The 12996-nt window shown below is 56.7% G+C and overlaps 1 annotated feature.

The window, feature by feature from the left end:
- Positions 6044 to 6564: an enhancer, noted in NCBI's record as "H3K4me1 hESC enhancer chr12:132662977-132663497 (GRCh37/hg19 assembly coordinates)". NCBI's record gives its function as "activates a minimal SCP1, AML or CMV promoter by ChIP-STARR-seq in naive H9 embryonic stem cells {active_cell/tissue: H9 hESC(naive)}" and the evidence as "EXISTENCE:reporter gene assay evidence [ECO:0000049][PMID:30033119]".

Genomic DNA, 12996 nt, shown 5'->3' with positions numbered 1-12996 from the left:
AGCTACTCGGGAGGCTGAGGCAGGAGAATGGCGTGAACCCGGGAGGCGGAGCTTGCAGTGAGCCGAGATCGCGCCACTGCGCTCCAGCCTGGGCAACAGAGCAAGACTCTGTTTAAAAAAAAAAAAAGTCAGTGGGATGGGTCTTCTGCTCCTGGGAAGATAGAGCAGAGGTATTTTTCTCTATTCATCTCACTAAGCATGGCATAAAACTCTATATGAGAAAACTTAGGACCCTGCAGGGTGGAGAGAAGCAGGCTGGCTAGGGACCTCAGGACCCAAAGGATGATGTGGTGGTGAAGGCCTTGGATTTTCTTCTTGCTTCATCGATCCCATGCTTGGACTTGAAGAAGCTGGTAATCCAGAAACAAGGATCAAAAAATAAAAATTAAAAAGCTCCAGCACTAGCCTAATCAATTCAATCATCAAAGCTCCCACCTCAAGAAACTATGAAAGAGGAGCAAAATCAACCCAATGCAAGCAGACAGAAGGAAAGAAAAAATGACAGAAGGAAAGAAAAAATGACAGAAATCATGGAAAGCAAAGCAGAGGAACAATACAGAAAGTCAAAGAGCTGGTTTCTTTAAACATATGTAAATGGGTGAACCTCTAGCAAAAATGACCAAAAAAAGACACAAATCACAAGTATCAGGAAGGAAGGAGACACACACCAACCCCATAGATATAAACATGAAAAGAACAAGGGCAGCTGGACACGGGGGCTCACGCCTGTGATCCCAGCACTCTGATATAAACGTGAAAAGAACAAGGGCAGCTGGGCACAGTGGCTCACGCCTATGATCCCAACACTCTGGGAGGATCACTTCAGTCCAGGAGTTTGAGACCAGCCTGGGCAACATAATGACACCCTTTTTGTACCAAAAAAAGTTTTAAAATTAGCCAGGTGGTACCTGCCTGTAGTCTCAGCTACTTTGGAGGCTGAGGTGGGAGGATCACGTAAGCCCAGGAGATTGAGGCTGCAGTGAGCTATGATTGCAGCACTGCACTCTAGCCTGGGTGACAGAGTGAGACCCTATTTAAAAAAAAAAAAAAAAAAGGAATAAGGAAATATTTGACAACCCAGTTGAAATAGACCAATTCCTAAGAAAACACAGCAGACCACAACCTACCCAGCATGAACCAGACAGTGTGACTACCCCGTAACTATGAAGGAAATGTAATATATAATTATAAAACTCCTAATAAAGGAATCTCCAAGCCCAGATTGTTTGGCAAATTTTACCACACATTTAAATAAACATTTACCCCAATTCTATGCAGCTCTTCCAGCAAATAGAAAAGTAGAGAACATTTTCTAGTTCATTTTATGGATTAACAGTACCCAGATACCAAAACTAGATAAAAATCGTACCAAAAAAGAAAATCAGACCAATATCTCTTATGAATATAGATGGAAAAATCCTTAACAAAATGTTAGCAAATTCTGCAATATATGAAAAGAATCATATGCCACGTACAAGAGAAGGTTAACCCGGGGACACAAGTCTGGTTCAATTATTTTTAAATCTGTCAATATAATCCACAATTCTAACAGGCTTAAGAAAAAAAATCACACAATCTCACAGAAAAAAAGCGTGATAAAATTCAACATGGATTCATGACCAAAACTCTCAGAAGGAACAGAGAGGAGCTCTGTTCCCCCAGCTCAGTAAGGAGCATTGACAAAAATACCCACAGCTGGTATCTTACTCAACAGTGAGAGAAGACCGCTTTCCCCAATAGAGGAGCACAGCCAGGGTGAGTGTGTCACCATGCTCTCTCAGCCCAGCACTGGAGCTCTCATCACCGGTGCCATCATGCCAGGAAAGAAAAGAAAAGGCGTCTGGCTGGAAAGGAGAAAGTGGCACCATCTGACACTCATGCTCAGCCCCCACACTGGCTCGGTGAGGAGCTCCAACCAAGAATATTCTGACCAGAATGACTCTTGGGACACTCGTGGGATGGGAAAGACTCCCAGAGGCTGGAAGTTGTGGTGACAAGAGCTTGAAGCCACCAGGGGCTACCGCACAGGCCCGAACATGGAGCCAAACCAGAGAAAGCAGAGGTGGCCATTTGAGCCCTGGATCAAGCCACACCTGAAGGCAGTTACCAATAGGAGTCAACACACTCCCGATTGCCTGAATCAGTTTTGGTTTGTTTTTCTGTCACTAGCAACCCAATGACTCCTAAGTAACATAAAGGGGGATGGTTTCGTGTTTGGAGGAAGAGCGAGGCCTGGGGGGACATTTTCTGTTGTTGTTAGGATGGGAGGTTTGGACTGTTTGCCAGCTGAAAGGGAGCAGTGCCTGGGAGAGGCAGATCCAAGAGGCTGGGCTCTCAGGGAACCCAGAGAGAGGAGAAACAGCCACAGAGAGTGAGAGAAGGAGAGGAACACCAGGGGGACACAGGGACGTCCGGCCCCACTCCTGTTCATCTGAGGACAGACACACAGTTCCACGCACCATTCACCCGAGGACAGCCACGCGGCCCCACGCACCGTTCACCCGAGGACAGATACGCGACTCCACACATTCATTCCCCAGGCACTTATCGAGGGCATACTGTGCACCCGCGCCGCCCTTAGCTCCTTCCCCAGAATTTCCCATCGTGAGCCCCTCTCCCACCAACACCCTGGGCCATTGCCATCTTCTCCAGGAATACTCAACTGTGGAGAGCAGAGAAACCGACTTCCCACCCGCATGGACCCTGCGGAACCTGTGCACCTGGGAGTGCTCAGAGTCAAGGCTTTCCCCCTCCTGCCGCCCAGGGGCAGATGGTCAGTGGCCACGGCTGCCTCCACCAGCACACGTTCAACCATGCCACACATGCCACACACGCCACACACGCAACACACACATACACAATACACCACCCATGAAACACATCACACACGCCACGCAGCCACACGAGGCTCACACACCACACACTCTCCAGCCCTCCTGCCCACCCAGGGGCGCCACAACTGCGGTGCTGTCCCGGCCACACCTGGGCGGGTGGGAAGGTCAAGGTCAGCCCCGGGGCCCCCAGGCCTGGAGGGTGCAGGGAGAGGAGGAGCGGAGGTGCAGGCACCGTGGCCGGGCAGTCGGAGGCGCCCCATCACTCGGGGGGGGGGGGGGGGGAGACAGACTTCACCAGCGGCAGGAAGACAGCGTGGCGGGCACACGAGGTGGAAACAGTGAAGGGACACACCTGTGCTGGTGGCCTCACCCCTCACCCCCTCCAGTCATCGCCAGCCAAGGCGGCCGCTATGCAGGGGCTTGGAAGGACGTGGACCCCAGCACCCAGCGCTCACCGCCCGCCTCCACCACACCCTCCAGCAGCTGAGGCTGACGGCTGATGCCAGCATGTGAGAGCATGTGCTGTCTGCTGGGTGTGTGCGCGCTGGGCTGTGCAGGGTGCGAGTGAACGTGTGCTGGGTGGGTACATGTGCTGGGTGTGTGTACTGAGTGTGAGTTGTGCTGGGTGTGTGTACTATGTGTGCGTGCTGGGTGTGTGTACCGAGTGTGTGTGTGTGTGCTGTGTGAGTTGTGTTGGGTGTGTGTACTGAGTGTGTGTGTGGTTTGAGTTGTGTTGGGTGTGTGTACTGTGCGTGTGTGTGCTGTGTGAGTTGTGTGGGGTGTGAACGTGCGCTGAGCATGTGTGTGTGCGGTGTGAGTTGTGCAGGATGTGTGTACTGAGGTGTGTGTGTGTGCTGTGTGTTGTGTGGGGTGTGAGCCTGTGCTGAGCCTGTGCTGGGTGTGAGCGTGCATTGTGTGTGTGCTGTGTGTGTTGTGTGGGGTGTGAGCATGTGCTGAGCCTGTGCTGGGTGTGAGCGTGCGCTGGGTGAGTGTGCCATATTAGTTGTGCAGGGTGAGTGTGCAAACATGTGTGCTATGTGTGCACTGGCGATGGGAGTGTGTGTTAGGTGTGTCAGGGGGTTGTTGCATGTTGCTGAGTGTGTAAAAGGCTCAAGGACAAAGATGGTGTAAAACATGAGAACTCGGCGTGGCCGTCGGGGATGGGGCAGGTCCCTACCCCAGCTCTCCCCTCGGGGCCGACACCTGCCCTCCCTGGAGCCCACACTCCCTGCAAACCTGGAAGTGCCCAACACGAGACCTTTCAGGGCCGTGGTGTCCACGTGCACCCCACACAGACACCCCCAAAGCCCCACAGAATGCAGGGGCACCCGTGGGCCGGAACGAGTGTACACCCCGAGACCCACAGGCCCTCCCAGCAGTGAGGAGGCTTCCCGCAGTGGCCGTGACGGAGACACGCGGAGCTGCAAGTCTGCTAAGTCCTTCTCTGTTTCAGCAGCTGCGCTGGCTTCGTTTCTATTTTCATTTTTTAATTGTGTAAAATTATATGTATTATAATACACGTAATATGCATTTTATGCAGATATTGAATACATACAATCATACATATATCATTTCATTTAATAACAGAAAACTCACCATCGTCACATTTTTCAGTGCACTTTAGCAGGATTAAGAGCAGTCAGGCCTCTGTGCAGCCGAAATCCCCACCCCCACCCCCAGAACCTGTCATCTTCCAAACTCAGGCTTTGTCCCCATGAGACACGAGCTCCCCAGCCCTAGGAGGGCCTGTTTCCTGGCTCGTAGACAGCCACCTTCTCACCGTGCCCTCACATGTCCAAGAGAGCAAGAGGGGTATGTGTGCATGGATATGTGTGTGTATGCATAGATGTCTGTGCGCATGTGTGTGCATGCATGGATGTGTTTGTGCATGGAAGTGCGTGTGCATGGATGTGTGTGTGTGTATGTGCATGCATGGATGTGTTTGTGCATGGAAGTGCTTGTGCATGGATGTGTGTGCATGTGTGTATAGATGTGAGTGTGCACGGATGTGTGCACGTGTGCATGGATTGTGTGCCTGCATGGATGTGTACATGAACGTGTGTGCATGGATGTGTGTATGTGTGCACGCACGTGTGCGTATGTTTGCAGCCCTAATCTCAAGGAAGGACTCGAGCTGGGGCAGCCTTGACGAGGAGCAGCTCCTCCTTCCATCGACCTCCAGGCAACCCCGCCAGGGGCTTGAACTCTCACCCATTCCCTACAGCAGGTGGTGGGTGACAGAGAAGGAAGGGCCTGCCCTGCCAGCCCCACTCCCAGGCCCTGCCTGTGCCAGGGGTTCCAGCCAGTCCTGAAGAGCCTGGCCAGGCCCCCAGCTCACATAGACATGGCTCTGCAGAAACACAACCTTTGCCCACCAAAGCCACGGAGGCCGCCCACCATGGACAGAGCTTCCTTCTCCCTACCCTTTCCTGAGCTGTCAGCATCCCCATCAGCCATTGCACAGACAACTCTAACAACCAGTTAAGCAAAGAGCAAGCTGCAGGCATGGGTGGATCCAGCTGCTTTGCCTTCTGTCCCCAGCTCCTCCCTGGGGGCCCTGTACCCAAGGGGACATCTCTGCAGGACCGTTCAGCAACTGTGGCTCCGCTGGGACCACTATTAGCAATAACGGCAGCTACTTGGATCGGGACCTTGCTTTGGGGCAGGCTGTGCCCCGCTTTGTGCATGCCTTCTCATTCATTCTCACACCAACCCTGTTAACAGATAAGGAAACTGAGGCCAGAGAGGTAAAGCACTGGCCCCAAGCCCACAGCAAGGGCGTGGAGCAGCCGAGATTCGCGGTGACACTGGCCCCAGCCACACGCACGGTGTCGGCCACAGCACCCTGAACTGGAAATGTGCTGTCCTTTGTGGAGGCAAGAGGGACTGGAGCTCATGCCCTGGGTCTGACACGTTACCTGAAGCCAAGAACTCGGCAGAGCTTCCTGCTTGGTGCTTCGGCTGCGCTGGCGACAGCAGGAAGAGTAGAAACCCGAGAACGCCCACAGCACGCCAGTAACTTGGAGGGGGCGGGGCTCGCCAGGGCACACGAATGGCACAAATGTTAAGCTGAAAACATGATACATCCCTAAACAAACAACAGCTCTGAGAACGGCATTTACGCACAACAGAACGGGCGCGACTCGGAGACACGGAGGACACTCGCTGAGAGAGAGAAGCCAGACATGGCACGCAGGGTGGCAACGACACAAGATGCCAGACACGGAATGCAGGAGAGGCAGGTGCGGCCCGGGGCGCAGGCCCACATGGTCCTGGGCGTGAACGCTGCTGTCTGGGTGGATGGAAACGTCCGGCTCCCCCGGTGGGGGCTGCCTGTGGCTGCGTTTGTCAGACTCGCCACCCTACACGTGTAAAGTGGGTGCGTCTCCAAGCAGGGAACAGCCTTGCTTCAGTGGCTCTGTCACCAAAGCTGGATTCCCTGAATTTAATCACAGGGAAATGTCAAAAATCCAGATTGAGAGGTGTTCAGCAGGACAGCTGGTCAGCACTCTTCAACTGGTCAGCAGGTACATTTGAGGCCCTGAATCCCAAGGGACAGCCCAACCTGCAGTCATACAATCCTGAGGTCACGAAAGGGAAAGGCTGGGGGCAGCCACAGCCCCATGTAAGGGGAGTGGGGGCGGGGGGAGAATCACAAGCCACAGATCAAGGAACAGGAAGTGTTCTCAGGGACAGCTGGAGACATCTGCATTATTTTTCGACTTGGGCCAGCCGGAAACGATTTCAAAAACGAAAAAAGTCAGAAACCAACACTTTTCAGGGGTCTCATTCTGTCGCCCAGGCTGGAGTGCAGGGGGTGGGGGGGGCGGGTTCTGAGCTCAGTACAGCCTCAAACTCCCGGGCTCCCCACCCTCCCGTCACACCCTCCCCGGTCACTGGGACTACAGGTGCACACCGCCATACCCAGCTAAGTTTTTAATTTTTTTTGTTGCCATGTTGCCCAGCCTGGTCTCGAGCTCCCAGCCTCAAACACTCCTCCCACTTTGGCCTCCCAAAGAGCTGGGATTACAGGCGCGAGCCACTGTGCCCGGCAGAAAAAATACTTTTTTAAATGCACATTTTATTGTACGTAAATCATACCTCAATAAAGGTAATTTTTGCCTTTAAAGTATATAAACGATAATTCTACCTAGTAAATAAAATATGTACTTGTATATGCATATAAAAAGGTTTGAAATAAACATACCTAAATACCACAGTGATTAAATAGCACTAGTGAGTTTACAAAGACTTTTTTCATGCCTTAATTTTGCTTTTCTGTTTTGTCTGTAATAAGAAAATATTCTACCATTTTTTCAGTTATAATTGTAAATAGTAATTATATATCATAACTATGTTATTCATTTTAATAAAGTTGTAATTAGTTGTAAATTCTATAGTTTTTCTAAAGTAAGAAAACATTCTTTAGAAAAAGTAAGAAAACATTCTTACTTTAGAAAAAATAAGAAAACATTCTTATTTTAGAAGAAATAAGAAAATATTCTCTTTTCTTATTTCTATATCCCTTCTTTACAGGGATGAGTGGAATGGGGCCAAGGGGTCTCTTCCTGGCTGAGGGACCCTTGCAGCAAGGTGGTCGGCTGTGGGTCACCCATGACACCAGCCAGGCAAGGGGTCTGGGTGCAGCCCCTCCTGGGCCCGTCAGGCCCCTGCCTGTGACTCAGGGCATGGCCGCCTCCTCCTAGAGCCTAGGGGCTCTGGAAATAGACCCGGCGTGCAGCCTCCCCACGGAGCCCAGCAACCCATCAGCCCACTCCTTTCCTCTCAGGGAAGTGGGCACAGACCCCACGACCCTGCAGTGCCACTCAAAGGTGAGTCCATCAGTCTTGCGCCCAGCCCGTGACAAGCTGAAAGCCGCCGGTCTCAGCTCCAGGCTGTCCCTGCTGCGTCTGCACAGTCCACGGCACTTCCAGTCACTCCCCACCGCCTCCTCCCCCTCGTGACTGCCCTCTAATTTAATTTCCTGTCAATCCCCAGAAAATGAGTTGTAACTGCTCTAGGAAACATCATCCATCCTTACAGTAAGAGCAAGTTTTATGTCTGCCCGCAGCCAGTCGCCGGGCAGAGCGACGCCTCTGAGCGAACATTCTCCACCAAGCCTCAGTCTCCGCAGGAGGGACCCTGTCCTCAGACCAGCGATGTGGGGGAGAGGGCCGCGATGGGGTGCTTTGGAGCCAGCACTCCCCAGAGCCTGCAAAAGCGCAGATTGCAGGCCCACCCCTGGAGCTTCTGAGCCAGAAGGACCCCAGAACTAGCATTCCTAACAGGCTCCCCGGGGCTGCTGTGCTCCAGGGACCCCACTTTGAGAATCAGGGGTCTAGAGCACCCCCGGCTTCTAGAAGCTAACACCCCGGGCCTCGAGCTCCCAGGAGGCGGCTCCTTTCGCCTGGACTTGGTTTCAGAGAGTCCTGCTTGTCAGCCACCCCATCTCCAGAGCATCATCAGGGTCCCCGCAGCTGCCTCTGACCTCACCCCTGCAGCCCCATTCCATGCGCCTCCCCTCTGCCGGGAGGGCGGCCTGGGTGACAGGGTGGGGCTGCATGTATTCACCCCCACGGGACAGGAAGTCAGTGTCAGAGGGGACAGGGCATGTGGTGACAGAAGCGGAGGCCAGGAGGGAGGGGAAGGGCCCAGCCCAGGAGTGCGGCCTCCGGACGCTGGGAAAGCAGGAGCAGCTCCTCCAGGAGGACCGTGGCTGCCTCCGCACTGCATTTTCTGGCCCACGGAGCCGAGAGGATCAATGGGTTGTTGAAGCCACCAAACAGCTTCCAGCTACTATTGTATTGCAGCAGGAACAGGGGACCAGCCGGGCCGGGAGCCTGGGTTGGGGCCGTTTGACGGCTCGGCGGCGGGGTAGGAGGTGTGGGAGCAAGGCCCCAGGAAGGGCAGCCAGCGCCCGTGGCGTCGGGGAAGAGCCTCCAGGCAGAGAGGGCCGCCCTGCGGAGGCAAATGCCGGGGTGTTCCCGGAGCAAACGGGGCCTCAGGGGTGCAGCCAGGGCCAAGGTGAGGGCTTTGGCTCTGGCTCTGAGGGGGTGGGAGCTGCTGGAAGGCTCTGGGCTGAGGCTCCCTCTGGCTGGGAGTGGGCAGAGCCAGCCAAGGGCGAGGTGAGCAGGCTCTGGGTGTGGGGAGACCTCGGGCGGCCAGGCCAGGCTCCCCAGAGCAGCGGCTCCGCCCAGGACCCACGTGGGGCAGGTGGACAGCAAGTCTCAGCCCTGACGGTGGTGCTGAGCTGGGGGCTGAGCAGGGAGCTGAGCTGCGGGGTCCGAAGCCTGGGTGGGATCCCCTCAGTGGGACCCGGCAGCCCTGGGGGGTGGGGGGGCAGGGGCGGGCCCAACACTGCCTCCTCCTCCCGTGTGGGGCTGGCACTGGGGGTGCCCTATCAGAGCCCCAGAAACCCAGGCCAGGGAGCACGGCCCTGCGCAGCCCTCAGCAGGCTCAGCTCTGGGGACTCTCAGAACTCAGCCCCTCCACAAGAGCCACGTCCAGATGCCACAGTCCCGCGGGTTAAAAAGAGGCCCCCATGACCCACGCACACCAGGATCACATCCGCTAGCTGAGGGGCTTGGGAAGAGACCACCCTGATTTAGGGTGGGGTCCTGGTAAGGAGAGGAGGGGAGACAGAGACACACAGGCCAGAGCAGGAGGGACGCAGCCACGGGACACGAGGTACCAAAACGGGGCACCCCAGAGAGGCCTGGGATGTACCCTGCCCTGGAGCCCCAGGGAGACCAGGACCTCCCACACCCCAGCTCCAGGCTTCAGGCCTCTGGTGTGGAGGGAACACATTCCTCTGCACGGCAGCCCCAGGGCACAACACCTCCCACAAGGCCTGTGGTGGGGGTGGGGGTCGCCCGGCAGTGGCTCAGCAGTTAGCCCTGAAAGCCGCTGGGAAGCTGACAGCCGCCCTGTCCGCTCCTCGCCGAGGTGGGCAGGGACCTGGGGGCCCCCCTCTCCTCCTGAGCTCGGCCAGCCCTGCAGCACCCCCCCGCTTTGCCTCAGTTCCACCACAGGGCCCTCACAGCCCAGCCCAGCCCTCCTCACCTCCCAGAGCAGCCCGGCTACCAGGGTTTATTTTGCCGTCCGAGGCGTTTCCTTGTGTTCTGAGATGAATCGGGAGCATGTTTTCCCACTTCCCGAGACCACATCGTTGAGGGTGGACCTGCCTCAACCAACAGCTCACGCTTTTCAATGCGCTCACCTCACTTGGCAGGTGATCTACCGTCTTATCTAAAGCAGCTCAACAGAAAACACGCCCACAGCTGAGCTGTATTCTAACTAAGCTAAGATCACGAAGCAAGTTCCACTGGCTCCAAGTTCCAGACACCCACTTCCTAGTGAGTCCTCTTACAAAACCCAAATTATCGTCCTGTTTGGCAGAGGGGATGGGCTAAGGGTCAGCTTCAGCTGTGAGAAACAGAAACCCCTACAAAACGGTGCCTTCCGTAAATCAGGTGCTTTAGTTCAACATCAAAACCAGGTGTCTTCACTTCCTTTCTCCCTTCCTGGAGGTCTCACGGCGGCTGCTGCAGCCCCAGCCCTTACTTTCACATTCTAGGCAACAAAAAGGAGGAGAAAGCCGCCATCTCTCCCAGGACAGCCTCTCCCCGCAGCCCCCGGAGCCCTGTTTCTCTCCCATGGCCCCTCTGGCGAGTGTCCTGGTTTGGCAGTGGAGAAAGGTCCCCAAAGGCCGAGTGCTGGGTGAGCAGCCTGCAGGGTGGTCCACATGCCAGAAGCTCGGAGAAGCCGGGACAGCAGGGCGCAAACCCTCACGCCCGCTCCACTGCTGCTCTGCCTGTCTTTCCAGAAGGTTCTGGAGGTTTCTGGATTGTTGAAGACAGTGGGCCTGGGGTGGACATGCGCATCCAGGAGTAGAGGGTGGGGTGGCCCAGTGGACACCCGGCACCAGCAGAGGCAAAGCCCAGGCGTCCCAGGCCGCAGGAGAGGCTCCAGCCGAGCCCCTTCTCCACGGAGTCCCGAGGCTCCCAGCCCCCAACGCCACGTGGCCACGTGCCCTCGGCCGGGGTGGCCGGGCTGTGCGGCAACCCACACTGGGGGCTCAGGACGTGAGAAGTGGGTCCCAGTCAGCAGAGGGGGCTCAGGATGTGAGAAGTGGGTCCCAGCCAGCAGTGGGGGCTCAGGGCATCAGAAGTGGGTCCCAGTCAGCAGAGGCCGCTGAAAACCCAAGTGTGTGTCTGCAGCCTCCCAGTGGCCTCCCATTGCCGGAGGGACACATGGAAAATGGGTCCCGGGGTTGAGTGCAGCATGAACCATCCAGCCCGCTACAGCCCCTAGGGGACCCCGAAAACTCCCCTCCTCTCTGCCGCTCCTGGCAGACACCAAAATCCCCAGCCTGACCCCTGGAGAGGGCCTGGCCTCCCCCAGCCCTTGTGGGTCTCTCCATGATGCCTCTTGTTTCTGGGTGTCCAGAAAGCCGGTGTCGGAGCCCCGCCTCGCCGCCCCGCACACCTGCCTGGGTCCGGCCTCGCCGCCCCGCACACCTGCCTGGTCCACACGGGCCCTGCAGACTTCACAGGTCCATGCTGCTCCCCACAGGAAGACCCTGTTCTTCCCACAGTGCCCCTCCCAGTGAATGCCACCCCGCCCATCCCTCAAGCCAAAGACCATGGAGCACCTTTGGTTCCTCAGTTCCCATCACCCCAAAATCCATCCCAGCAGCCCCCAAACGCCCGTGCTGCCTGCTCCTCCCCTCCCCTCCCCAACAGATCACCGGGTCACACGCGCCGTCTCCCTGTGCTGGGAAAGGCCAAGGGAACTAACTGCACCTGCTTCCTTGCAGAGCGGAGGCGTGCAAACCTTGCAGACCTGTGGGCGGTGTGGGAGGGCGCCTCTAACCACGGATCCTCGCGGGACTCCAGGCCTGCCCTCTCCCCGGGGCCTCGCCCTGTTTGTGGCTTTAGAAACCATCCGTTACCTGTCATCTCCAAGTGGTACCTGCTGCTGCCTGGACCTCTCCATGAACTGCAGCCTCCTAAATCCACCCGCCACGTGCCTTTCCGTCTGGACCTCTCAGAGACACCCAGGTCCAGCATCTGCAAAACCAAACCCCTCCTTTCCCCAGCCTCAGAGTCCACTCCAAGCCCCCCATCCCATTAGCGACCACTTTGTCCCCACAAGTGATCACACCAGGGCGTCGGGTTCAGCCTTGGCGGCTCTTTCCACCCATGGTGGCTGCTGCAGCAAATTCCGTCAGCTCTGCCTTTGATGCACAGCCTGACCTGACTTCTCAGACCCCCACTGCCCCCCAGGTCCAGGCCGCCCTGGGCTCGAGCTGGAGTCCCTGCAGCTGCTTCCTCATCGGTCCTGGCCGCCGCCCTCGCCCCTGCGGCCTCTTCCACTCAGCAGCCAGCGTGAACCCAGGAAAGCACACGGTGTCCCCCACCCCTGCCCAGGGCTGCTGGGGAAGTGGCTGAGTCTGGGCTGACCACCTCTCCGACCTGAGGACTTGCTCAGACAGTGACGGGGGCATTTCAAGGACACAGGGGACAGGCCTGGCACCATTCAAAAGGGCAGAGAAACAGTAAAAATATCTAATTACAACAGAATCCTTGAGTCTAAGAAAAGGGATGGGGAGGGGAGTTCTGCTTCCCGGAGGAACGGCGGGCTCCGGGCTCACGGGCAGCGGGAATGGCGGGCTCCGGGCTCACGGGCAGCGGGAATGGCGGGCTCCGGGCTCATGGGCAGCGGGAACGGTGGGCTCCGGGCTCACGGGCAGCATGGAAAATCCCCACTCAACAACAGACCCACGTCAGGCCCTCCTGGGTGCTCAGCCGCCGGGTGGGAGGTGGACTGGGATGGGATACTCGACTACCCAGAAGTGTCACCCACAGGTCACCTTCCAGTGCACAGGGAGGTGTCGCCAGGACGGAGAAACCCCCCGGGTCACCTTAACCGAGTGAGCAATAATCAGACAAGCAGCCTGTCTGCCCCAGGTCTGATGCACGAATCCCCCCGGCCAAGAGAGTGGCATGGAGGCCAGTCCCAGAGCGGGATCACTGGCTCCAGAGGGGAAGCTCCACTGGGGCCCACGGTGGAACGGCCTCAACCCTGCCCCGCCTGTGCTGCTGTGCCACGTTGGGCCAGCTGCTGTGCCTCTCTGGGCCTCAGTTTCCTCCTCTGTAAG

This window comes from Homo sapiens, chromosome 12 (genome assembly GCF_000001405.40).
Source record: "Homo sapiens chromosome 12, GRCh38.p14 Primary Assembly".
Taxonomy (NCBI): Eukaryota; Metazoa; Chordata; class Mammalia; order Primates; family Hominidae; genus Homo; species Homo sapiens.
The sequence above is the reverse complement of the archived record's forward strand: the minus strand, read 5'-3'. Positions and strand labels throughout refer to the sequence as shown.